This window comes from Homo sapiens, chromosome 2, assembly GCF_000001405.40.
Source record: "Homo sapiens chromosome 2, GRCh38.p14 Primary Assembly".
NCBI classification, from domain to species: Eukaryota; Metazoa; Chordata; class Mammalia; order Primates; family Hominidae; genus Homo; species Homo sapiens.
Genome location: NC_000002.12, coordinates 205,533,191 through 205,559,438, shown reverse-complemented (window position 1 = coordinate 205,559,438; position 26,248 = coordinate 205,533,191). Strand labels below are relative to the sequence as shown.

The following is a 26,248-nucleotide window of genomic DNA, read 5'->3' as shown; positions in this document are numbered from 1 at the left end:
TATAGTGGCTCATGCCTATAATCCCGGCACTTTGGGAGGCTGAGGCAAGCTGATTGTTTAAGCTCAGGAGTTCGAGACCAGCCTGGGCAACTTGGCAAAACCTTGTCTTTACAAAAAAATGCAAAATTTAGCTGGGCATCGTGGTGCGTGCCTGTAGTCCCAGCTACTCTGGAGGCTGAGGATGGAAAATGCTTGAGCCTGGGAGGCAGACGTTGCAGTGAGCTGAGATTGTACCACTGTACTCCAACGTGGGCAACAGATGAGATCAGACCATCCAGCAACACTTGGGTGCAGGAGTAGGTATTGCTCCAGTGGTGGAGCCCATACTTAGGCCTCCACCTGGGTAGAGGAAACAAAACAAAAACCAAAAAAACTATTCTCATCTGTATAGCAATGTATTAAGACTCTACTGTATACATGGCCTTATGTTAGGTTCTGGGTGTAACAAATGATGGGTATAAAACAAAGTCTCTTATTTCAAGGAATTTATATTTCAATGGGGTGGAAAGGGGCAGTGGAGAATAATCCAATTCAGGGTGTTTTTAGGGCACTGGGAAGGTGCTAAGTAAATGCTATGGAAGTTTAAAAGAAGAAGAGCAAAGGAAGATGGCATGGGTTTTGGCAGGGGGACTTGGAGGCGTCTTGGAGGCAGAAGGAGGAGTATATCAAACGGGGTCACAAGAGTGGGACATGAATGTTAGGCAGGTACTTTTGGAATCATCATAGAGACGGGCATTGAATTGGCAGGAATGGAGGAGACGGCACAGAGAGAATCCATGTGGAGCAAAAGGCGGGAAGCAGAGTCTGGTGGAAGTATCAGTGGTGTGGGCAGAAGCCTGGGGCAAGAGGCTATAGTGTGAGTGGGTTGAGTGGAAATAGAACCAACAGGTATAGCCCACTTTTTCTTAGGAAATGTGGGAAAAGGAGGGTTGAGCCAAGGGTCTTTGTTTTTCTCTGACATACAAGAGTCAATTTAATGGGGTAGACCTGCCACACGAGTCCTGCTCAGGTATAAGTCTGGTAGTTGCATGTTCAGCACTGCCCGGTCCTGAGATAATAGGAGTATCTTAGCAGTATCTCTGGATCTCTCCCACCTGCGAATAGGGTGCTGCTGTCATGCCATGTCTGCCCTGGGAGCTAGAGCATCATGCTCCACCTTCCTGGTTAACTCGCCCTGGGTATGGCCTCTACCACTGGAGCAATGCCTACTCCTGCACCCAAGTCTTGCTGGACAGGAGCCCTGGCCTCTTGCCTAGAGCCAAGTCAGCATGCTGTATCTGTTATAAACCCCCTCTCCATAGCACTGCTGTCTACTATCATGTCCATTAGCTCAGCTTATCACTCAGATCACAGTAGATTGCTATGTTCTCTTGCACTTGACCATCCAGACCACTGGTCTTTCCTGAGTCGGCGAATCCTTCAGCTTCAGTGAGTTCCCCCAGCATATCCCCATGCAGGTGCTGCTTCCTCTTCTCCACACAGTGGGGGATCCTGGCAAACTGTGCCCCTGAAGTTGTGCATCTATGATAGTAGGCAGGGGGAGGAAAGCAACGCCAAAAGGATTAAAGATGCTGCCGAGAGAGGGTAGTTGGTGGCTCAAGGTCCCCAAGAAGCCAGGGAAAATGAGCTCTGGTGTGTGGGTTTGCCTCATTACAGGAAGGCACATTTCTTCCCCTGAGATAAAATAAAAAAAGAGCTAACAATAAAAAATCCTTCAATGCACTACACAGGCTCTTCGCTGAGGGTTTTGCTTGTATTATTGTATTTAATACTCATACCGGCACTATTACCGAGGCTCTAATATCATCCCCAATTTGCAGATTAGAAAACAGAGCCTGAAGCAATTCCATCACTGCCCAAGGCCACACAGGTGGTAAGTGATGAAACTGGGGCTATAATCATGGCCTGACTCCGAGCTCAGGCCCTCAGTGCATCCCCTTGGGAAGCGTGTGTGAGCTAAGATGCAGGACTCTGAGCTGCAGGAGCAGAAGTTGAGGGGCTAACGTTGAATGCCTCAAGGTCATAAAGCAAAGGAAGTGAGATCACCTCCAGAGACTGGGCTTGGGGAGTTTAGTCATCTTCGTAGAACTTAACGGGAGTAGAAAGGGTTGGAATGGCCACTGTGGGATAGTCAGGGGAGTTGACAACATGACTACAAAAAAAGCTGGACGGCAGCAAGGGACCCAGCTGGTGCTGCATAATGTGAATCTTGTAGTGGAACCCATGAATGCAGTTTTACGAGTCTCTCCAGCAACCTTTTGCCGCCCACGCATGTAGGACCACAGAAGAGCTGCAGTGCCTTTTGCTCACTCCCTAGGACTCCACACTTGATTCTAAGTCCGGAAGAGCAATATCATGCGCCGATGCACAGAGCCATCTGCAGAGAGGGGGATAATGGGATCCCATGGGGCCAGGGATGGGCCAGGTGGGAATGATGGAGGCTTGAGATGGGAAGAGTGGAGAGTTCAGTGCTGAAGGGACTGACCACAAGGAGGCCTGCGAAATCAGAATGGGACCTGGGAGAATTGCGAGCGGCTGGCAGGCTGGAGTGAAAAAGGAGCCGTTTGCAAAAACACATACGTTGATGTTCGCACATCATAGCAGCCTAGGAAACAGCCACTTCCCTACTCACCTAGGGTGTCAGGCAAGAATAAAGGAATGCTGATTTCATTCTGTTTACTACCAAGAAAACTGGGGGCTGTTGAGGCTGGTAAAACATTGGCCCTGGTACAGGTCTGGTGTTTACTAACGAGGTTGTATTACAACCACACTCCGCTTTCCAAAACAGCACCCTCAGGAGAAAAGAAGTAAAGTCATTTTTCTTAGGAGGCAGGAGATTTAACATTGCTTAACAATAACACTTAACATGGCTTAGCCCTTAGCCTTAGGCAACCTCATAACTACCAAGTGCTGGGAATTGTCTTTTTCCTGTGCTGGCCAGCGCTCTGGCTTTATTTCGTGAAATGTCATTTAGCCTGGCAGTGGGCTGCATGGGCCTGCTTTAAAGATGACCGAGTTCCATGAAAGCACTTGACCAGAGCTCCTCACCTACTCCATGTGCTGTGGAGCATTTTCTCTCTGTGTCGATGGCTCCAAATTTGGCATAGAAATCAATGTTATTGAATTGTTCCTAAAAACTACTGTGAAGCATTGCACAAACAACATAGGAACCCAATCAGTCAGTAGCATATTAAGTTCTCCATAAGGTTGGCCACCGACTTCCTACAGATGGATTTATTCCTGTTTTTAATTAAAAATTTAACTCCATAAATATTTCAAAGCTCCCGGCCTCTGTGATGAAGAGGGATCCGGTGCCTACCGAGATGTGCTCGCCTCACTCTCCTGGCAAAAGGAGACAGCGGTGGAGCTGGCGTGATTCAATTAAGTGGACAGCAAAATCTCCAGGGGGAAAGACAAGAAAACCAGGGTAAATGTCACTGGCACTCAGAGCAGCATCTGCATACCTTTTCAGAAGCCAGCAGTACGTCTCTGGCCTCTGCTTTCTGCATCTCATTAGTTTAATTTGGAGCCCCCCACCCATGGACCAGGGTGCAATGCCTGGGAGGGAGCTTTGCATCTCCTCTTTAGATGTTGGGATGCAGCATCCCCATTTAAAAGCCACTGCCAGGGGTCCCCCTTGCATTTATCTGAGCCCTATTTATTCTCCACCATGGCTGCCTCTGGTTGCCAGGTAGCTGCAAAGGTCTGTTTGCACATGCAACTAATTGCTCTTACCATTGTGTACGTGGGTGAGTGAACTTTTTGCCAGAATTATTTCCAGTTTGAGATGCTTCCCTTTCAGCTACAGTTTTATTCTGGGGCTGGCGGGATTTTGTCAATTCATACATTCATAAAGAGCCATAAACAGCATAAATGTATTATCTTTGACAGAAAACCCCCACCACAGTGTTTAATCCTAAAATATACTTGTTTAGAGTCAGCCATGAGTGAGTATTTCGGGGATTAGCGAAAATAAACAAGAGTTGGAAATTCAGAAGACTTTAATAATTACAAACAGAAGCATTGGTTGTACTACTGTAAAAGGCTGATTTGCTTGACTCCTTTGCTAACAGTAGAGTCCTGAGGATGGACTGGGACTGTGCCTCCAGTTTCCATATTCTCAGGGCCTGGTACATACTAGGTGATCACCAGATACAAGGTGAATGAATGAATGAATGAGTGAAATTTATAGAATTTTAAATGCTATTTCTGTGCCTCTGAATTGTACCCAAACACTCCATTTCTGCACTCTGAGTGCAGATTGGTCAGGAAGATTTTAAACTGTTTCCAGTTTTCCTTTTTTTACTCCCTCTCATAAGAACATTCTATTTTCCATCTGCCTTAACCACAATTTCCATATACTTCAACAGTGAAAGCCGGAAATCTTATATGTAAAACAAATTTTTGGAAACTGCCTCCATTTTTAAAATGAAACAAAATGTAACTGTCCCTTGGGGATGATTCCCCATTCCTTGGGGGAATGGTTCCAGGACTGCACCTCCCGCACCCCAGCCCCCGACCTCAGATACCAGAATCCACAGATGCTCAAGTCCTTGATATAAAATGGAATCGTATTAGTATATAACCTATGCACATCTTCCCATACACGTTATATCATCCCTAGATTACTTATAATACTGAGTACAATGTAAAGACTATGCAAATAGTTGTTATACTGTGCTGTTTAGGGAATAATGACATGGAAAAAAAGTTTGTACATAATCAGTACCATTGTGACTGTCTTTGTTTTCTTGGATATTTTCGATCTGAGATTGATCGAATCCATGGATGTGAAACCCATAGATACTGAGGGCCAGTTGTACTAAGCCAAGGAAAATAGAAACAGGAAGCTAATCACAAATAAGAAAAACTTATTAGACAACATCTATTAAAGAAAAGAAAACAGGAAGATAAATAAAATATAACTTTATAAAAGTTTTAAAATATTGTATTTTGGGTGTCCTGCCTAATCAGGACAAAACAGCTTCTCTGCTAGATTTCAGATTTTATTACTTTTGAAAATAACATACTATTTATAAAAGCAGATGGTCACTTTGGCTTTGCCCATTGTAATGTTCAGGGTGTTTGTTTTGTAAAATCACACAGAGGTACAGTCAACATACAATGTCAAACAGTCACTCCATCTCTGAGTTGGCACTTTAACAGCTCAGTTTTGATAAAAAAACTCTGCTTGGGGTCTTTCCCCCACCCCTTTAAAAGGCAATATTTGAAAACACTGCAACTTTCTGCGTGGCATTAACCTTACTTTGTTTCTCTTTTGGATGCATTAATTCTCATACTCTCACCTCACCTAACTCCAATCGTAGCTGGACTGCATGTACTCTTGGAAAAGCTGTTTCTTTGTCATGTGCTACTGATAGCAAACTAAAATTCCTCTTCATCTCACCAATAACAGCACAAGTTTTGAGAATTGTATCTCATTTTCAAGGGTGTTGAGTTACAGTATGAGTGGATCATGTCAGGCCAGGGTGGCCCAGCAAACTTTTCCCATGCAGTTGTTTCTTTCCCCCGTTGGGTCTGTGCCTCTCAGCAATATTTGCTTATTGCCTTGAGAACAAGGTCAGATTCTAAATCAGGCAAAGAACACCTTCCTAAGTTCACATTTCTTTCCTGCTTCTTAACACCCACATGAAACTCCAAGCTTAAGACTGGCCCGCCATTCCTCGTGCGTAACTCCTAGGACAGAGGATTTACTATTTGATTGTCTCTAAGCTTGGTGCGGGATGTTCGATACCAGTTTTATAGCAATGGCTTAGGATTTCCATTTAGTATCCAATGTTCTTGCTGACACGTTCAATTGCAATGATATACTATTTTCTCCCCTTAAAAATAACCCACAAGTGTTTCAATTATTAGCACATTTGTGAAGATGGAACTAGGGCTACAGCAGACGGCAGCAAGGCAAAATTATAACATATTCCCTATTTCAAAGCCAGAATTTCTATTTCATGTAGACTTCTCTAAAGACTTCATTTGTAGGTGAGCTGGAGATGGGAGACCTCTCCGTGATCTACCTGGGTAAGGATGCGTACTGCCTCTCCATCCCTTCAAAGCGGAGGTTGTGTGCATTCCCATCTGGACCCCTTCCAGGCACCTGTGGAGAGAAAAGCAATTAGAGATGAAGATCCATTATACACCTTGGTTACTGACAATGCATCTCGAAATTATAATCAGTGCACAAATGCTGTTACTGCCTGCCAAAAATCAACCATGGAAAAGCAAGCAAGAACTCCACATTGCTATAGGAATTGATGATCAAGCCACAAACATGGCATTTAACAACAAAGTCACTTCTTTCAAAAAAGGGTCACTGTCAAACTGACTCCCTCATGTCCCCATGCCAGGAATATTCTGTAGGATGCTAGACTATTTTCTTCTTCTTCTTCTTCTTCTTTTTTTAAAACCGACTTTAGTTTTTAGAATAGTTTTAGGTTTACAGAAACATTGAACAGGTAGTATAGAGACTTCCCATACATCCTGTACCCAGTTTCCCTCTTATCGCTAGCTAACGTTAGTATGGCACATTTCTTACAATTAATCCATATTGATACATTATTGTTAACTAAAGTCTATAGTTTATTTAGATTTTTAACTAATGCTATTTTTCTGTCCCTGGATCCCATCCAGTATGTTACATTTAGTTTTCACGCCATTATAGCTCTTCTTGGCTGTGAAAAGACCATATTTTTAAAAGCACCGTTTCTGGCTGGGTTCGGTGGCTCATGCCTGCAATCCCAGCACTTTGTTCGGAGGTCAAGAGGCGGGTGGATTGCCTGAGGTCTGGAGTCTGAGACCAGACTGGCCAACATAGTGAAACCCCATCTCTGCTGAAGATACAAAAATTAGCCGGGTGTGGTGGTGCACGCCTGTAGTCCCAGTTACTCAGGAGGCTGAGGCAGGAGAATCACTTGAACCCGGGAGGCAGAGGTTGCAGTGAGCCCACATCACGCCACTGCACTCCAGTTTGGCTGACATAGTGAGACTTTGTCTCAAAATAAATAAATAAATAAACAAATAAATAAAAGCACCTTTTCTATAAAACCTTTCTTTACTAACAAGGGTTGCTGACAATCAACTGTCTACTCCACAGCATCCATGATGCCCCCCGACCACCCTGAACCTCAGTTCTCTCTCTTACGAATGGCCACCCATAAGTGATGAACTGTTTTCTATCTAGTGTTGGTCTTTACTGTTTTTGTCCCTTCCTCTGTACGTCCTGTGTTTACCTCTCTTGGAGTCTTTTCCATCAGCCTCTGAAATCCTAAAGGGCAGTGACTGGCCCCAGTAGGTTTTCAATACTGTGTGTTGGTTTCTTAATGACAAGATATTGTATCTCATTGTTCTGTAGCTATCATGCCAACTAAAAACAGGATGAACACGTAACACGTATTTAAAAGTACTTGATTACTGATTGATTCCCCACCTGTTCACCTCAACGCACTTGGTATCACATGGACCACTCATGTGCTTCCTTTTGCTCTTGGATATCCCTCACACATGGGCATGGAAGGAGTAAATAGAAAACTTGGACTATCAGGTGGGAAGGAAGAGATTTTGCCAGTAAGCACAGGAAGGAACTAACAGTGTCAAGGTCAGTAGGGAAAATTTTTCTAGGCGGTAATCAACCACCTGGAAGTTATTTTCTTCTTACCAAAAGTCCCGGCTCTCCATAAAACTACCATTCCATCCCAGCTTGTGCAGACTGTGTATATGGGGTTGGGGATATGGGGAGAGATGTTGCAAAACAAGTATACACTTGCACTTAGATTAAGAAAGACTATTCTTGGTGTTTAATTATTGTGGGAGGACCTTTAGAGTGTGTCCTATAAAACCTCTTTATATTTCATCAATAGGTGGAACAGGAGACACTGGGGTTATCTGAGAGGGCAAGAGTCCAGTGAGCTACTACGTAGGTAGGGACGAAGACTTCACATCTTTAAAGCAATCACAGACAGAGAGATTGAGAATTCTCTGCAGTAGGATAAAAGCCTTGGTTTAAATTTCTGAACTTTCTACCAAAACCAGAGGCAAGGATGGTGACAGACAGGGGATAAAAAAAAAAAAAAGAAAAGGAAGAAGTGAAGGACAGAAACATTGTCCTCACCCATTCCTACCTAAGGTTTGCTTTCTTGTGTTTTTAAACTATTTCTTATGGAAAGAGAATTCCTGCAAATATCAATACTATGCTGAAGGTTATTAATTGTGATTGTTGGAAAATCACTATGCTTATGTATCCATAGTATAGCTCTGGATATTCCAACTGAACTTTTTCTTGTAGCTATAAAATTCCAAGTTAATAGTTTCAGCACCGTTATCCAGAACTGTCCTGGCATAATGATAATAGCAGTCAGTATTCTGTTGCCTTGAGGAGACCACATGCCTGTTACTGTTCTGGTGCCTCGAGGAACAGATTATGTGTGTGTGTGTGTGTGTGTGTGTGTATATATATATATATATATATACACATATATATATACACACACACACACACACATAATTATATGTATTTATAACATGATTATGTATATATACATACAAATATACATATATACATACAAATATACATATAAAATATTCAAATATACATAAAATATACATATATACATATAAATATGCATATATTTGTATATTTGCATGTATATACATATATGTATTTATATATAGTATACATACACACACCTATGAAATATACCCAACAGCATATAAGATTGTATGAAATGTAAGGTGATCCTTATTCTTAAGGGATTTTCTGTCTTGTTGGGAAAACAGCATTCAAACTGAAATAACCAAAGAATGAAATAGGATAATGTATTTTCAAGTGCCATTCAGGATGTTATCAGCAGTAGCACAGGTGAGGCCTGGAGGTGTCAGGAAAAACTTCATGGAAGTACCAGAACTTGGGCCAGTCTTCAAAAGATAGGCAGCAAGCTTGCACATAAGAAATTATTCTGTCCTTCACTAATTGTGTATATCTTTGTATGTTTCTCCATTGATACTGCAACATCATTAATGCAGTCATTCACTGTATTCAAAGCAATGAAGAAATCCAGCGGGTCTCCTCATGGAAACAGGCCTGCAAACAATTGTGGTACAATGAGATCACTGTGGAAGTCTGAGGAAGGAGGCAGTGGGAGTCCGCAGGAAGAAATTCCAAAGTCCACCTGGGAGAGTTGAAGACAGCGTCATACGGGTGTTGAAGCGTCATCTCAAACCTGAATATGGATGAGGAGGAGTTTTTCTGGGGCAGAAGGGTGTAGGAGTAGTAGGATAAGCCATTCAAGTAAAGAGCACAAAAGTGAAAAACCATGGAGGCATATCGAAAGCACTGTGTCTTCAGGGAATTTGAAGATTTTGCAAAGGTAGAAACAAGGTATGAAGAAAAGAATACTACTAACTAGCAACTATACTACTGTTGCTCCTACTGTGGCTATTGCTGTTACCACCACCACTGCAATTTTTAAAAAGAAACTAGTTTTTAGAGCAGTTTTAGGTTCACAAAAAAATTTAGGCGGCATACAGATTTCCATATAGTCCCACCCCTACACATGCATAACCTCCTTCATTACCCGCATGCCCACCAGTGTGCTACAACTGTTACAACTCATTAACTTACATTGACACATTATAATCACTCATAGCCCATAGTTTACATTAGGGCTCTCTCTAGGTGTTACTCATTCTATGGGTTTGGACAAATGTATAATGGCATGTATTCATCATTTCTGTACCATACAGAGAATTTTCATGGCCCTAAACATCTTAAGTGCTCTGCCTATTCATCACTCCTTCCCCCAGGTCCTGGTAACCAATGATCTTTTTACTCTTTTCATAGTCAATTCCAGAGTGTCATATAGTTGGTATCACACAGTACGCAGTCTTTTCAGATTGGCTTCTTTTACTTGGTCATATGCATTTAAGTTTGCTCCATGCTTTTTCATGGCTTGATAGCTCATTTCTTTCCAAGGCTAAGTAATATTCCAGGGTCCAGATGTAGCACAGTTTATTTAGTCATTCACCTACTAAAATACATCTTAGTTGCCTCCAAATTTTGGCAATTATGAATAAAGACGTAAACATTTATGTGCAGGTTTTTGTGTGGATGTCAGTTTTCAACTCCTTTGGGTAAATACTAAGGAAGGCGATTGCTGGATCATATGGTGAGACTATGTTTAGTTTCGCAAGAAACCACCAAATTGTCTTCTAAAGTAGTGATACCATTTTGAATTCCCACCAGAATTCAACAAATGAGAGTTCCTGGTGAATGAGAGTTCCCCGTGTTCCACTTCCTTGTCAGCATTTGGTGTGGTCAGTGTTCCCAATTGTAGCCATTCTAATAGGTGTGTAGTCATATCTCATTGCTGTTTTGCCATTTCCTTGATGACATGTGATGTAGAACATCTTTTCACAGTCTTATTTGCCATATGTATATCTTCTTTGCTTCTTTGGTGAGGGATCCATTGAGGTCTTTGGCCCATTTTTTTATTTAGGTTGTTTTCTTGTTGAGTTTTAAGATTTCTTTCTGTATTTTGGATACTTCATTATCAGATGTGTGTTTTGCAAACGTTTTTCTCCCAATCTGTAGCTTCTCTCCTCATTCTCTTGGCAGTGTCTTCCACAGAGCAACATTTTTTAATTTTAATAAAGTTCAACGTATTAATTTTATCTTTCACAGATCATGCCTTTGGTCTTATATCAAAAAAATCACCATCAAACCCTAGGTCATCTAGATTTTCTTGTATTTTATCTCCTGGGAATTTATAGTTTTTAAGATTATTCTTACCATAACTTGGAGAGTTCAGCAAAGGTCTGAGCCAGAGATTGTAAGAGCATAAACCTGAGGGTTTTTCAAAGGATGAAGACAAGAGAGTGTCATTAGGATTTCAAAGAGGTAAGAGCAATAGGATTGACTGTGGATTAAAGGGAGTGAGGTATTTAGAATAATGCCCAAGTTTCTGAGCTCAGCAACTACATGGTTTTGGTAATACTCACCAAAACAGGAATAAATGAAGGACAGATTTTGGAGTAGAGGTGGGAGGAGGGAATATCTAGACATGTTAAACTGACTTGAGACATGTCAATGGAGATGTCTGATCGTTGAGTATAATGGTTTGCAACTTAGAGAAGTCTGGACTAGAGATGTAGTATTGGGAAACGTTCAGCATACAGATGGTACCAGAAAGCTTGGAAAAGAATGCCCAGGAAGAGTCTGTAGGGACCAAATAAAAGAAAAGACAAATGAGAAGAGAGAGGAACACTAATACTATTCTTAGGAACACCATCATTTAAAGGGCAGGCCAAAAACACTGAACCCAGGAGGAAGTCTGAGAAAAAGTAGTTGGTTCAGAAGAAAACCAGGAAAATGTTTTATTGTAGAAACCAAGAAAAGAATTCCATGAAGGGAGTGTTCCACAGTGCCAAAACAGTGAAAAGCTTCAGTAAGACAGGGACTGTGTGTTAGTGCACTTCATCCAATCCACCCTTCTTGTAGAGTGTCACCTTCAATTCCAGAGCCTGGAAAGCTAAAAACTACCTTTCTCTGGATTCCCTTGCAGCCAATGTACTGGCATGATTTAAGTTAGGCCATAACATTTGGAAAATAGAATTGAGGCAGTGGCCATACTTCCGCTGTTTATTATGGCAAGACTGACTAAATGAGAGGTATGCTTGGTTTTCCTGTGGCAGCTTTAGCAGCTGTAACATTGCTAGTTTGGGGAGTGAAATGTAACTTTTATAGTTGGTCTTAGAATTGGTGGCAGGAGAGGTGGCTTTCTGATTGTGGCATCTTCCTAATCATGGTGGCTCCTGATATGAGCATTGTGTGGCTCTGCAGTCTAAAACTTCCTACATAGAAATAGCAACAGCTCCCCCAGTAGCTCAGTTCTGGAGTGTGGCTTGGAAAAATCATTCCTGAAAGCTTATCCAAGAAGTTTTTTCTTTAACATCCCTTATGGTTCTATAAGCTCATTACTATGGTATAATAAATTTATTCTTTCTTAAGCTACAGTGGATGTTGCTCTCTACAACTGAACAGAGACCACTATAAAGTCTGCAAAAATATTGTTTGGAATCGGCAATGAGATGGTGATTGGTGGTTTATTGAGAGTGATTTCGGTGGATTGATGGGGAGAGAAAGCCAGACTCTCTGGTGCTGAAAACCTTTCTAGTTTTCTAATAAATAAACACTGATTGTACTGTCTTATGCTGTCATGCTTATGGAATGGGATTAATACTTTCAAATATGTAAACATGTATTAGTGTCTCCTAGGTAGAGTAACATGTGAAGTACCATAAGACATAGAGATGAGAAAAAGTCCTCTCCCTCAGGGATACAATGTTAGTTAATGAAAATGGTGGGGATACATTTCTGTTCCATTATCCAAAAAAACAGATTTAATCATTTTTTTCTCCATTAAATGATTATTGTGGAAAACCACCCCAAAATGACCTCTGTTAACATTTATAAACACATACATATTTTAATGGCATATAGAGCTGTTTTCTCATCTGTTTATTATTGACAATTTTGTATGCTATTGGATATATTTTAAAACATGATTTTTAATGGCTATATAATATCCCATTATATGGAGAAATCATAATTCATGTAATCTCCTATAATTTGATCAATTTTTAATACTCGGTTAGAAATGGTGGCAATATAGATTAGTGTGTTGGGTACAAATATTCTTACAAGAGCTGCAAATAGAGGATAGGAAATTGCAGATAGAGGGTTGCTAAAGGGAAGCCAATTTTAAGAAGTTGTGGTTAAGTCCTTAGGAAGTAAGATGACTTGAAGAGGGAGTGAGGGAGAGAAAAGAGACACAGGCATTTATAAGCTCACTTCTCATTTTTCTCTGTGCTCAACAAGGCTCAGAAATATTCCTGCTTGAAGAACTCCTTATTAGGTAATTTTCCTCATCACAAAAAAATAAGGTCAGCAGCTTCAATCCAATTAATTTTTTTTAAATCCCTTTATCTTACTTGGTATCATGCAGGTTTTTTTTTTCTTTTTAATGTAGTGACCTAAATATATGTCTGACAGAAACAATCTTGACTTAAGCCATAACAGAAATCTAGCCTTTTACACAACAGTGTAACGTTAGAACTTACGCCTGGATTTGGGGCATATTTATCTTTCCTTTACTGATATAGCTCAGGAAGTGAAACTTCAGAGAGCTTATTCAAAACAATTTAAAGCGCTCATACCTTGGTGCGCCTTGCACGTGGTGACCCTCTTTGGCTGGATTATGACAGCCTGTGACAAGCCTATCAGGAGGGCTTGGTGTTTGGAAGGAATGTTGAATTAAGGTGCTTTTAGTCCATGGGAGTTCTCCCAGTTTCATTCACTCAATGCCTGCTGCCGGCTGGGGTGTTAGGAGCCTTGTTAAAATAAAGCTATTAGTCTTTTCTTTACAAAAGCAAAGAGCTTGCTGCTTACATTCATGGTTCCTTAAATTAGTATGTATTTCTAGCCTGGCATTGCTAGAATCAGCAGTTTCATAAAGCAATATCCTAAAGAGGCCATTTAACCTCCCAATATTCCCCATTTGTAGATTAATGGCAGAGGAGAAGATATAATGCCTTTTCAAACATTTTTTAACAATTCATTGAAAATAAAAGAATAAATTACACAAGATTTTTCTGCAAATGTCTGCTGATGAAAAGCGGAAACAATTCAAAATTAACATGTTTTCCAGTTTCTATAGGTTAGGACACATTTTTTGCCAATCTTGTAATTTATGTCCTCCAAGCCAATTTTCCTGAGGAAATTAAAAAGCTGCTGTGATGGAGAGGCCAAGCAAAGTTGCAATACGGCTTATTCACCTATATATAACATCCTCATTTACAAATATGTCTTACTTAGATCCATTACAAAAAAATGAGTTTCATGCTGCCAGACACATCATAAGATTAAGATGCAAAGTATAAAAATTTAGATGCCATTTTAGGAAATGTGCCTTTCATTTCAAGTTGGTATCATGACAGATATTTTGGAGAAGTGTTCCACATTTCCAAAAGCTTTCTTCTAATTCCATTGCTCTTACCTAGTTACAGATTTGGCTGGAAGATGTTTAAAGGAATCAACACAATAAAAACTTCTAAAAGTTATAAACTTGGCTTTCAGCATCTTCTAATATTAAGACTTTTGCTAAAATGCTATATGTTTCTAGGGGAACTAAGGGAAATGCTCTATTTAAACAAAATGAAACTCATCAAAATAGGATGTTTAATTATTCATCTTCAGCAATATGTGGTATAATATGCCTGAGCTACGTATTTACAAATATGCCATCCAGAGAGGCGAAAGAACACACACTCATTCAAACTATTGTTTCTGAAGTGTTTGTTTTCCACAATTTGATTTCAGTAATTTTGTGAAATAACTGGGTATTCAGCTTATAGACTAGTCTAGAACATCTGCTAGTTTAAAAAATACAGCAAATAAAATATTTTAAAAGGAACTCTTGGATAAGTCTTTTAACCACACTGTGCCTACATTTTCCTTCCTTGCAACATGTCAGGGTTAAAACAGACATCCTGGAAGTCCCTTCTAACCTGTGCACATTTATAAAAGTTATCTTGCATCATTTCCACATTTATGTTGACCACTAACACCTCATTAATATAGTAACTGTGTGCAGGCACATGATGATTTTATAGCAGAATGACAGAGAAAAGCAACCTGCAAATTATGAAATTATAAAGTATTTATTGGGATTTAAGCATGAAATCTTATGGTAGCACCATCCAAGTACTAGCTGCATGTACACTGGGCTATGGCATCTTAATAACCTGAACTGTCTCTGTTATGATTGTCTTAGCAGAAAATAAAATCAGACATCTCCTGCCAGCTCTGTTTGTGTCTGGGCCTAAGATACAGTTACCATAGAAACTATGATTGTGGATACAATTTTACAAATTTGGCTTCATCTATCAGATGCACTTTGTGTGTGTATGTGTGTGTATGTGCACGTGTGCGTATGTGCCTTGCCAACAAGCTTGAAGAGCAAACTCTGGCTCTGTGTCTTTAATTAAAGAGCCAGACATCATTCCTCATTTCCTATCCCCCATCTGTCTACCTACAAATAGAGATATTGTAACACTGGCTAAAAAGTAAACTCATACTTGAAAAAAGACAAAGGTCTGATGAAAAGAAAAAAAAAAGGCATTAGGAAAAGCATTTCCTAAGAAATCTGTCACCTGTCTTGTATTCTCCAGGAGCAGAGTACACAGGAATTTGATGTAATCTTAGTGACATCAATCACTAGATGCTAATATCTAGTACTTACTAAATTCAGTTTCTGTTTCATGGATGTATTCCATGAGTCATTTACTCCTTGCTGTTTTGTTTTATTGTACACTCTGTGACAGTGTTATTCACTCACCCCAAAACAGACAATGCTAACCCTCAAAATATGTTCAATTCTTAAATGATATACTAGTTCATATTATTTCTTATACTATCCCTTTTAGCTGATAAACTCTATAAAGCATATTCCTTGACCAAGCTCTCTAGCATATTTTAGGTATACTTCCATTTATAAAGACCAAACATAGAAAAAAGAAACATTTGGAAAAGCTGAATATTTTGTATCTATTTCAGCCAGTTGGCAAGTTCTGGTCACTTCCATTTACAATTACCAAAAGAAAGGACTCTCTAGAACACTCCACTATCAGTATCATGAGTTGCAATCGTGCTACCATTTCCATCTCTGCCTCATTTCACACATGAGGAAATGAAAGTTCAGAGATCATCAAGAGACTTGCCTAAGGGTCACACAGTGGCAAAGCCAGGATTTGAACTGAGATGTGTCTGACCCCAAAGCAACATTTCTCCCCCGACAATGCTGCTCGTATGTTGGCAGTGATCACATAATTACTGTCACTCTGTTTCCTAAATGAAGAACTGAGATGAAGGACTGGAAAGTTCAAATGAACCCATGGTGGTGATGCGATGGGACGTGTAAAATAGTCTGTGACTGTCTGCAAGTATTCTCAGTGGTTTGTGGTCTTCTTAGCCATATCACTGAACTCCAAAGGCCTAGTAATATTTATTTCTTATAGCTGGAGGCATTAATATTTGTATATATTCTAATTTTTTGGTATAGCAAAAGTGTTTCCTAATAAGGAGATATGTGTTATAAAAATAGCCTGGTTTATGTACAGTTTTTTTTTCAGTTATTCATACATGGTATCAGTCTATTAATTTGGTTTACCTAAGATCTCAGATTGTAAGCTTCCTGAGTGCTAACACAATGCCTCCTTTTGGCACCATTGCATTCTCAAGGCCTGGCATATCATCTTTGTATCAGTCCGTTCATTAATATTTACTGAGCCAATGAAATAGATGTCTCAGACATCTACGCAGTGGAAGTTAACAGAAAGAATGAATCAGATTCCATGCTAGATTTTTGGTCCAAACCTGTTAAATCAGAGAAAACATACTATCAAAATGTTTTAAAGGGAGCTTTACCCTCATGACATCTGTTTTATGGTTATGCCTTATTAAGACTGCCACATTTCTTTTGTTTACACAGTCCTGGCTTTTCATATTCCTTACAAAATAAAAAATAAACTATAAATAGTCTAACAATTTAGATTTGAACTCAGATCTGGAGTATAAATCGAAACCATTTGGAATCTAAATTATGTAACTGCTTAGCGTGAGGAAAGATTCCTATAAGCTCAGAGTAACAGTGGACTAGGAGAGGAACCGTATACAATAAGATGAATTACTGAGCACACAACTACTGTTGGATGGAATGGCTATGTCATTATGCAGTGTTTACTGGAGTCACAACATTATCAGACCTGTCCTACCATTCATGCTGGAATCAGACAGGCATTTTCCTCAAATTTATATTAACCAAGTTATTTTGTGATGACTGCAGCAGCTGAGTTCAAGTTCTAGGAAGATGAATGAAGTTGAGGAGAAAGGAAGAACTGAAGGGATAACCTTCTGAAAACTGATGTTCTTATGTCAAAACCTGGTTTGGAAAACCAAACCAAATAAGCACACATACATACATACATACACACACACACACACACACACACACACAAACACAAACTACTGAATAGTTTCCTGTTAACTAGAGAAAAAAAACTCAGCCTCTTAGTCTGGTATGCAAGGCCTTTAGTAACCCATAGCAACCTAACTTTCCAGGTTTATCTTGTCCTTCTTATGCATGCTCAATGATCTTATTGATCTTATTAAAAATTTTATGGATCCCAAACATATACTTTTTTTTTTTTTTTTTTTTTTTTTTTTTGGAGACGGAGTTTCACTCTTGTTGCCCAGGCTGGAGTGCAGTGGCGTGATCTCAGCTTACTGCAACCTCCGCCTCCTGGGTTCAAGCTATTCTCCTGCCTCAGCTTCCCGAGTAGCTGAGATTATAGGCATGAACCATCATGCCTAGCTAATTTTATATTTTTAGTAAAGATGAGGTTTCACCATGTTGGTCACGCTGGCCTGGAACTCCTGATCTCAAGTGATCCACCCACCTCGGCCTCCCAAAGTGCTGGGATTACAGGTGTGAGCCACCGTGTCTGGCCAGCCAAACATGTGCTTTTTTGCCTATGGCAGGATATCTGTTTCTTCAGTTTTGGTAGCTCTGCCTATCATCAGGTTAGTGCCATAAACTTGGCAGGGGCTTAGTAAATGCTGATTGACTGAATGAATGAAACAAAGAATATTGCTCTGATTGGCTGTACTCATTGCCACGAAGGGAAAAAAACAGGTGGATAAAGTAGTAGATAAAAAAAAATAGGCCGGGCACGGTGGCTCACGCCTGTAATCCCAGCACTTTGGGAGGCTGAGGCGGGCAATCACTTGAGGCCAGGAATTTGAGACCAGCCTGGCCAACATGGCAAAACCCCGTCTCTACTAAAAATACAAAAATTATCTGGGCGTGGTGGTACATGCTTGTAATTCCAGCTACTTGGGAGGCTGAGACAGGAGAATTGCTTGAAGCCAGGAGGTAGAGGTTTTAGTGAACCAAGATCACGCCATTGCATTCCAGCCTGGGCAACAAGAGCGAAACTCTGTCTCAAAAAAAAAAAAAAAAAACAAAGTTTCTGTGAGCATTAAAACTCTCAAACAGAGAAGGGAGCCTGGAAAAAGGGGTGTAGACAGGGAAAGAGAAAAAAACCCAGAGAAACAGAGAAAAGCTGCAAAAGAGAATGGAAACTATGAAAACAAGCTAGATTATGGCAGTCTACTCTAAATCTTAGCGTACAGGTAATTCCTGTCCTAAATTTCTTTCCATTAATCAAATTCATGGATCAATCAGAATACTTCATTCCTCTACCAGCATGGGTAACACAGACTTTGCTCTTCTGATTACATGTATATATAGCATCTTACTTTCAATGTCTTTAAAATATGATTATTTTAAGTCAACATTTAAAGGTAGATTTGATATAATCATTTAATTGAGCATTGATTCATCTACACAGAACTCATTACTGAATTCTTCAATTTCACCAACATAATTTCCTTCCAAATTATCTTTTATCTAGAAGCTGGAAGTGCAAGTCCTGTGAAAACTTTGCCAAAATTAAAAGCTTTTAGATTTCTAATGCTGGCTGAACACAAACCCATGGAAGATTGTTGAAGAATAATGCATGCTTGCCAACTGCCAGATATGACTGCTTTTCGCATAATTAATGTCATTCTTGCTGCTCAAGTACCATTTCCATCGTCTAATAATTTGCACTAATAGAGGAAGTTTCTGCAATGATTTTTGCATCCTGAAAATCCACCGTGGCTTCTACACACCTTTTTAATCAAAATAATGACAATGGACAAAGGAAGCTGGTTAGAAATATTACTGCAACCCTGGGTAGAATTTGCTTTGTCATTGTTTTCAGTCTCAAAAACCTGTCCGAAGGGCTCATTGCATTGAATGTTTTGATTTCAATAGCATTGAACCATATGAATTTATACCCAGAAGAGAAAAATACATAAAATGAATGTGTTGGACAATTTTGCCACCAAAAAATGTGAAAAGAGAGTATTTTTTAAAAAAGAAAACCAAAAGATGAGCAGATGCAAATATAGGCCCAGGTCCCGTGAAATATGATAATTGTAAAATACTTTAAGCTGCAGCTTCCAGGAAGAGGAAGTGATAGACCAGCTGCAAATCATAACCTCAAACCTGCCAATTCACAGTGTTTTTTTTTTTTATTATGCTCTTGCAAAATCAAGAACTCTGCTCGGGATATAAAATTATGCAAATATACAGCAAGCAACAACAACAACAACAAAAAATCAGCCCAAGTGTCTCACATGAGCCAAGACATGGATGTAGCATGACGGTGCCGCACAACTCACATGCTGTGGAGGACACAGAGTCCGTGGTTAGTTGGGTTTCTAGGAACCCTCTCCCAGACTTCCCTGCAAGCTGAGTAGTGATACTAAAATGAGGAAAGTTTGGATATTAGGAGAGAACTGCTGAGTCTTTTCCCCTCTGTTCCTGAGTTACTTTCGAACTAGTGAAAGGCTACATCAAAGCCTCATACTTCTTTGGCTAAGAGGGCTTTGAAAAAACTTCACCTGAGTCACATCTAACCGTACTTGGCTGCTCTGTGAAGTCCACCTAGTGGAGATCTGAGGATGCCACTTGAGCAGAACACGTTTGCTCTGTGCAATGACCTGGGGGAGGGGTGGGGTTCGGGTCTGGAGAACTGTGTTCAGTGATCTGATCAAAGCTTCAGAACCGGATATCTAAACTACTGAGGAAATAATACAAAGGATACTTCAGTGTGGGTTTTAGTAGCCATTGTTAAAATAAAAAACAGCTGGTCATCAGTTGTGACAGCTGGGCTGCTACTTCGTGAACAGTCTGGCAGGCACTGGGGAAAGGATAGAGTGACCAGCAATGGCTGGCTTTGAAGCTTGGATGCTGATGGGCCCCTGACCACGGCCTTGGAGGGGCTGTGCACATACCTGCTCTAGAGGATGATACCTAAAAGGTTAAACCGATTTTCAAACTACCTGTCCTGTTTTTAAAATGTGCTTGCTGTCTAGTTCCTACATACATATTAAATGAGTGATATATTGTCAGATACTATATTCATACAGGGTTTTGCAATGATCAAAGCATGTTCTCAGACATCATCTGACTCAATCTGCAACACTACCCTGACCAGGACAAAGGCAGGTGTTGTGAATTCCTCATAAGACTATTTCACTCAAAGAGAATGACACGGCAGGGAGGGTAGGTCAGACAATCCTAAAAGCACCATCACTCCTAATGCGTGTCTGATTCCAGCATTAATTAATTCTAACTGGAAACTGCATGAAGAGTCTCTAATTGAACACCCAGAGGCAGTGGTCTCAGGCCTGCACACAGTGTGCCATAGTGGTTGGGTTTGAATTCTGGCTCTACCACTTACTGACTTTGTGATTTTGGGTAAGTTAACTTTTGAGCCTCATTTCTCTCATCTGTAAATGCGATTAGTAATACCCACTCAGATGACTGTTATGAGCATTAAATGATATGATGCATATAAATCACATAGTACATCTCACACATAGTCTACTACATGTCAGTAAATATTCATTCTTACTATTGCAGTTACATTGAATCTGACCTTTCTATTGGTTAAAAAACAAAACAAAATAAAAAAACAAAAACACTTGGAGAGGATTTCTTCCCTGCCCTGTAGAGTTCATTTCCATGAGCCCCCTGAGCAGATCTGGCTTACAGAGCTAACGGAAGCTTCTTCACCGATACTATTCCGAAAACGGTATTGGGAAAGAGAGTGACGAGAGAGAAAGGAGAGACAGATAGACAGAAAGAGAGGGAATTATAGAGAGAGAACTCTTACTTTCTCTTATGAAAGTGTCTTTTTTTACACTATATGTATACAAGATGAGTGGCTGGAATAATATGACACATTTAGAAGGATGATATGCATGTGTGTGTGTGTGTGTGTGTACACACACGTGACCATCTTATTGTTGTTTACAGAAACAATGCCTAGAGAAGTCTAATTCTTGAGCATGGCATCCAAGCCTTTCACAATCTACAGTCATCATTGTCATCCTCATCAGTATCACCATCCTTCATCCCTGTAAACTCTCACATTTCCTTACGTTGGTTCAAGCTTTTTCCTCTCCCCCTCTCTTCCATCACCAGGTCCTCTGGGAAGCCTGTCAGACAGAACTATTCTCTTTTTATTTTCTGAGAGCCTTCAGTATGTCTTTGTAAATAATACTTACCTAGACTGTTATAAGGAGATGGTTTGTGTTTTTGTTTTTCCTTCTCTGTTGGATCATCAGTGCTTTGAGGACAAATAATCCTGCTTTATTCATCTTTGTAATACTTCTTATCTAACACATGCTCAATAAATGATTAAAAGAATAAAGCATCAACTAAATGAAAAAAGTAATCTTGAAGGAGAGACATAACATAGGCAAGCAGAGAAACACGTAATCCTCAACTACCCACAGAAAACAGACTTGGATTATCCTAGCTGGGTTACCTCAAGGTGCTATTAGCAACTGAATGCAATGCTCTAATTCATGTGGCAACATTAATTCTACTGAATGAAATCAAGAAACAGTATTTGTGATTTAGGCATTTAACAGTGCAAATATGAAATATGCATTTTATTACATTATTGAACAGTTTGGGATCACATATAAATGCCAGGACCATGTGTGTGTAGTTCTAGTGACTGGATGAGGAGAGAATGACAGCTGGCTTCCTTCCCAGGGTACAACAGGTTGTGTGCGCAGGTAGAGAGTGAGTCCATCTCCAACTACTGACCTCAGCCATTTTGCTATCGGTCCATTGATGGGTTTTCCTAAATGAGTGCAACTCCCAGATTTAGCCCTGCCGACTGGTGGAAGGCCCCTTCATTGTGTTTTCAAGTCTGAAAGCATCCTCAGTGTCTGTGTTCAGAGAGATGCTCACCTAAGTGCAGTTCTTCCAGAGAAACAAAGGTACAGAGTCTGAAGGGGAAGCATCATGTAGCAAGGGGTCAGCAGACAGGAGAACCAGAGAAAAAAAGAAAAAGAAACCAACACTTGCCATGATTATTTCTATGCAAAGAAGCCAAATCCCAACTTTGGCAGCTAAGCAATTGAAATTCTGGTTGAGTGCCATTTATATGATTTCCCATCTTTAAGGAGAAGAATGTTTATCTACTTACTTAAGGGTCTATTCATTATGCCCCAGTATAGCATGAATGTTGAGCAGAATCAACACCTATTTATTATCTAGTACTGTTTTGCATTGCTTTAGTGGGCTCAGTTGGAGAATTGTGAGGTGATTTACAAGCATTAGCCTAATACTCTTAACATCCCTAAGAGGTAGGCAAAAGAATATATAAGGAACTCTACTCATCAATGTAATGAAATTAAGAAAAGTGAAAATTTAGGATGAATATTGCAAAGAACTTCTTATGGTATAATCCATTAGGATGAAGGATAATTTCCCAGGGGGAGTTGATTTATATGTTAGAAAATGTACAACGCCAATTCATAATGTATTTGTGACAGATGTAATGCCATGTCCATCTATAAATCAGATTTACCTTCTGTTTGAAGCCCCAGAACTCTTCCTACTGAAGGCTATCCCCAGGGGCACTGACCTGAGATGTTTCAGATCCAAAGGGCCCAATTACTGAAAATCTTCCATCTTGTAATTGGGTTTTGGTATGGAAAATAGCACCAACATTAATCCAAGTCACTTGGAAGGAAGTAGAGAGAGTTACATTCCTGAATTTGTTCATTGGCCCAATATAGTTTAGGGACAGGTCTCTCCGAGTATCTTCCTCAAGGGTCATGAGAAACTCACTTTTACTTTGCAGACAAGCAACAGTGCATAAATTACACTAACAACCCACAAGTGAGTTACTGATCAGGTGATGATCCCTGAGTTTAAATTTACAACATTCACAAGGGAAACATCACTTTCAATTTGAGGGTCAACCGTGGGGAACAACCCATCCAAAGAGTGGGTAGAATCATCTTTCCTTAGGAGCAGAGATCAAATACCATAATTCACAGAGCGGCAAAACTCAAATGAGTGGGAGCAGGAGAATGCAATGCTGTGGAAAGAACAGGAATAGAGCCTATTTCACGATATTCCTGGGGACACAGGAGCAGGTGGTTCAAAAGTTAATCGAATCATTTCTTAAAAAATCAAAAGTCAATTCAGCCTCCATCATTTCCAATAGCACACAACTCAGCTAAGAGACACCACACGCTTGTTCCACCTCACAATTCTCAATCAGAATTCAAATACCTGCTCATAGCTAATACCTGTAAAGGACCCCACTCCCTGCCATTTCTCAGATACTCAGGAAAACCAAACTGCAAGAACCTATGAAAAGAGAGTGAGCTTATTCAAGGTTTTTAGATCCATTCCAATTTTCATTAGGCCTGCTGCCACATTTTTATTAGGCTCACCTTGATTACGTCTCAATCCTACCCCAGGTGAATGCAATACAGCACCATTGGCATGTTTATAACCAGAAAGGAGAAAACACCAGGAAATGAAATTTGGGGTACAATTCTCTACTAGTAAAGCCCCTAAGAAAAATGATCCAACACTTTAATGTGTTTCTAATTACTAATTTCTGTGAGTTATTGAAATCAGGGATTCTCACAATGGGAGAGCTTGGCTATTGCCTGAGGAATTGCAGCAAAGCAGAGAGCACAGAGCCACTTTGCACAGGAAGAGGAAATTATAAAGGTGGCAGAATGAACTCACTGCCTCATAGGGAAGAGAAACCTTTTACTGGATAATGTCTTCCAATACCTTGTTCTTTAAGTGGGCTATTATTTAAATACTGTGATTTAAAGAGACCCATTACATCAATATTTTCAGAAGGAAATATATTTCTTATGCTACAAACAAATATCATATTAATGGTATTATTACTGTGTGGAGTTTGAACTAGAATATTCACATGCAGATTACAATGAAGAACAGTGGCCCTGCTGTTTTGTGTATCCCATAACAGAGTTGCAAACTGCTGTTAGTACACATCTCTAAGGATGGTTTAGTTTTGAAATGTCCTATGACATCTTCTTTTGGCATGGAGAAAGGAACCAAATAAAGAGTCTGAGTACCACCACTCTGCTCCCTCCCTACCTATTGACTGGGGCCAACTCTAAGGCACAGCTGCACAAGGACGGAGTGTGTGTTAAAGGAAAGACCGGGCTTAGATGTCTGTGATGTACATGATTAGTGGCTGTTGTTACTTCCTCTTTCCATTCATGCAGAGTTCGCAGGTGGGAATAAGCCATGGTATCCTCTGGTGGAAACATGAGAAAGGGGCAGAGCAGATTTGATTATGGGGGCAATATGTCTACACAGTAGATGTAGAGCTAAGAGAGATGCAAAAAAGAACTCCATTTTACTCTGTATACACCCCTCTGTAGACTGGAAACTCATGTGTCCCGATTTTGAACAAATTTGTGAATATAATAGCCTCTGGTTTTGGCAGTCTGGAATGAAATAATTGGCCATCTCTCCTGAAAATCACTCTCTAGAGCTAGGCCATGAGAAAAACATAGCAAGCTAGACCAATGCCAATCGTTTTTACTCTTTTCTAAGCATGAGGAATACGTATCATCATCTATGCATCTTAGAAAATTAGAAATAACCACTATGGGTAAGAATGGTTAGGCTGGGTGCAGTGGCTCAAGCCTGTAATTCCAGCACTTTGGGAGGCCAACGTGGGTGGATCACTTGAGGTCAGGAGTTCAAGACCAGCTTGGCCAACATGGTGAAACCCTGTTTCTGCTAACAATACAAAAATTAACCGGGTGTGGTTGCGGGCACCTGTAATCCCAGTTTCTTGGGAGGCTGAGGCAGGAGAATAGCTTGAACCCAGGAGGTGGAGGTTGCAGTGAGCTGAGATCATGCCACTACACTTTAGCACTCTAGCCTAGGCGACACAGTAAGACTCTGTCTCCAAAAAAAAAAAGTGGACTCCATAAGACTCCACAGTTCTGATCCTCCCACCTCTCTGGCCTCCGTCCATTCTCCTTCTCACTCACTCTCCTCTCTGCTCCTCCAGCTTCCCAAGCATCTTGCTCCCTTAGCCTTCTCCGACCACTTTGTAGAAAACAGCATGCTTGCCCAGCCCCTTAGCCCAGCTTGATATTTCTTCCTGGTCATTATCATGGCCTGATATTTACTCTTTACTTGTTTATTGTCTATCTCTTTTCACAAACATAAACTCTATGAGAACAGGGACTTTGTTTTCTTTCCTAGCACCAGGACCAGTCCCTTGAAAATATTCAACAAATCAACATTTATTTGATCAAGTGAAATAATAGTTATAAACCACTTTCCTAAACATGCATGTCTCTTCTTGTCCCTTTTTTTTTTTTTTGGCTTTTTCACTTTTTCTTTTATCTCTTTTCCTTCTCAAAGACAAAACATTAATGCACAGAGTAACCCAGAATGGGAAGTCTTTGTAAATGCTTTTACTAGACTCTATTAGAGGTGGCTGGCTGCCTAGTGATTTTCTTCATCTCTTAAAACACTGAACGATTAGCCCCATGTGGTGGCGTGGGCCTGTAGTTCCAGATACTTGGGAGGCCGAGGTGGAAGGATTGCTTGAGCCCCGGAGGTTGAGGCTGCAGTGACCTGTTTGCACCCCTGCACTCTAGCCTGGGTGACAAAGCAAGACCCTGTCTCAAAAAACAAACAAACAAACAAAAAACCCCCAAAACCATTGAATGTTAAAATCTATGTCTTTTTGTAAGTTTAGTATTTATTTTTATAAATTTGAGAATAATTCTGGTTACACAGGGGTGATTTCATTATTTAATGAACACTTATGTTTCCTGTTACTGATGTTTAAACTCGATGATAAAAAAACTTTTTAAAATTTGTATTTTAAAATTAGCCTGAAAAAATATACTTTGCCTCAAGTGTAATTGTTATGAATAAAGGTATAGGGGTAAGAAAATGGATTTTTATTTTCCAAATTCATTATTTTGAATTAACCCATGAAAATTTTCACATACAAGAAAATCTGGTGGATAGGAGAATAAAATAAGCCATCTTCAAGTTCTGTACAGAATATGAACTTCATTATTTGTCTTCTGTCATCACGGTATAAAACAGCTTATCTGGGCACTGGGGTGTTCCTCCTACCAGTCTCACTGCTAAATTGTTTTATTTATGATCATTATTTTCCTTCTGCCTTCCTTTGGGAGAAGAGAATACAAAAATTAAAATTTATAAATTCA

At 40.0% G+C, this 26,248-nt stretch overlaps 1 protein-coding gene across 16 annotated transcripts in view; it reads right to left on the bottom strand.

Annotated features, from left to right (window-relative positions):
* The window catches only part of PARD3B (par-3 family cell polarity regulator beta), a 1,074,688-nt gene that overhangs the window by 60,724 nt on the left and 987,716 nt on the right, over positions 1-26,248 (bottom strand). For all 16 annotated transcript variants that reach the window (XM_047443208.1, NM_001302769.2, NM_205863.4 and 13 more), the window contains one exon: positions 6,036-6,115. In XM_047443208.1, the coding sequence (XP_047299164.1) occupies positions 6,036-6,115 (80 nt within the window). The remainder of the gene's footprint in view (positions 1-6,035; positions 6,116-26,248) is intronic.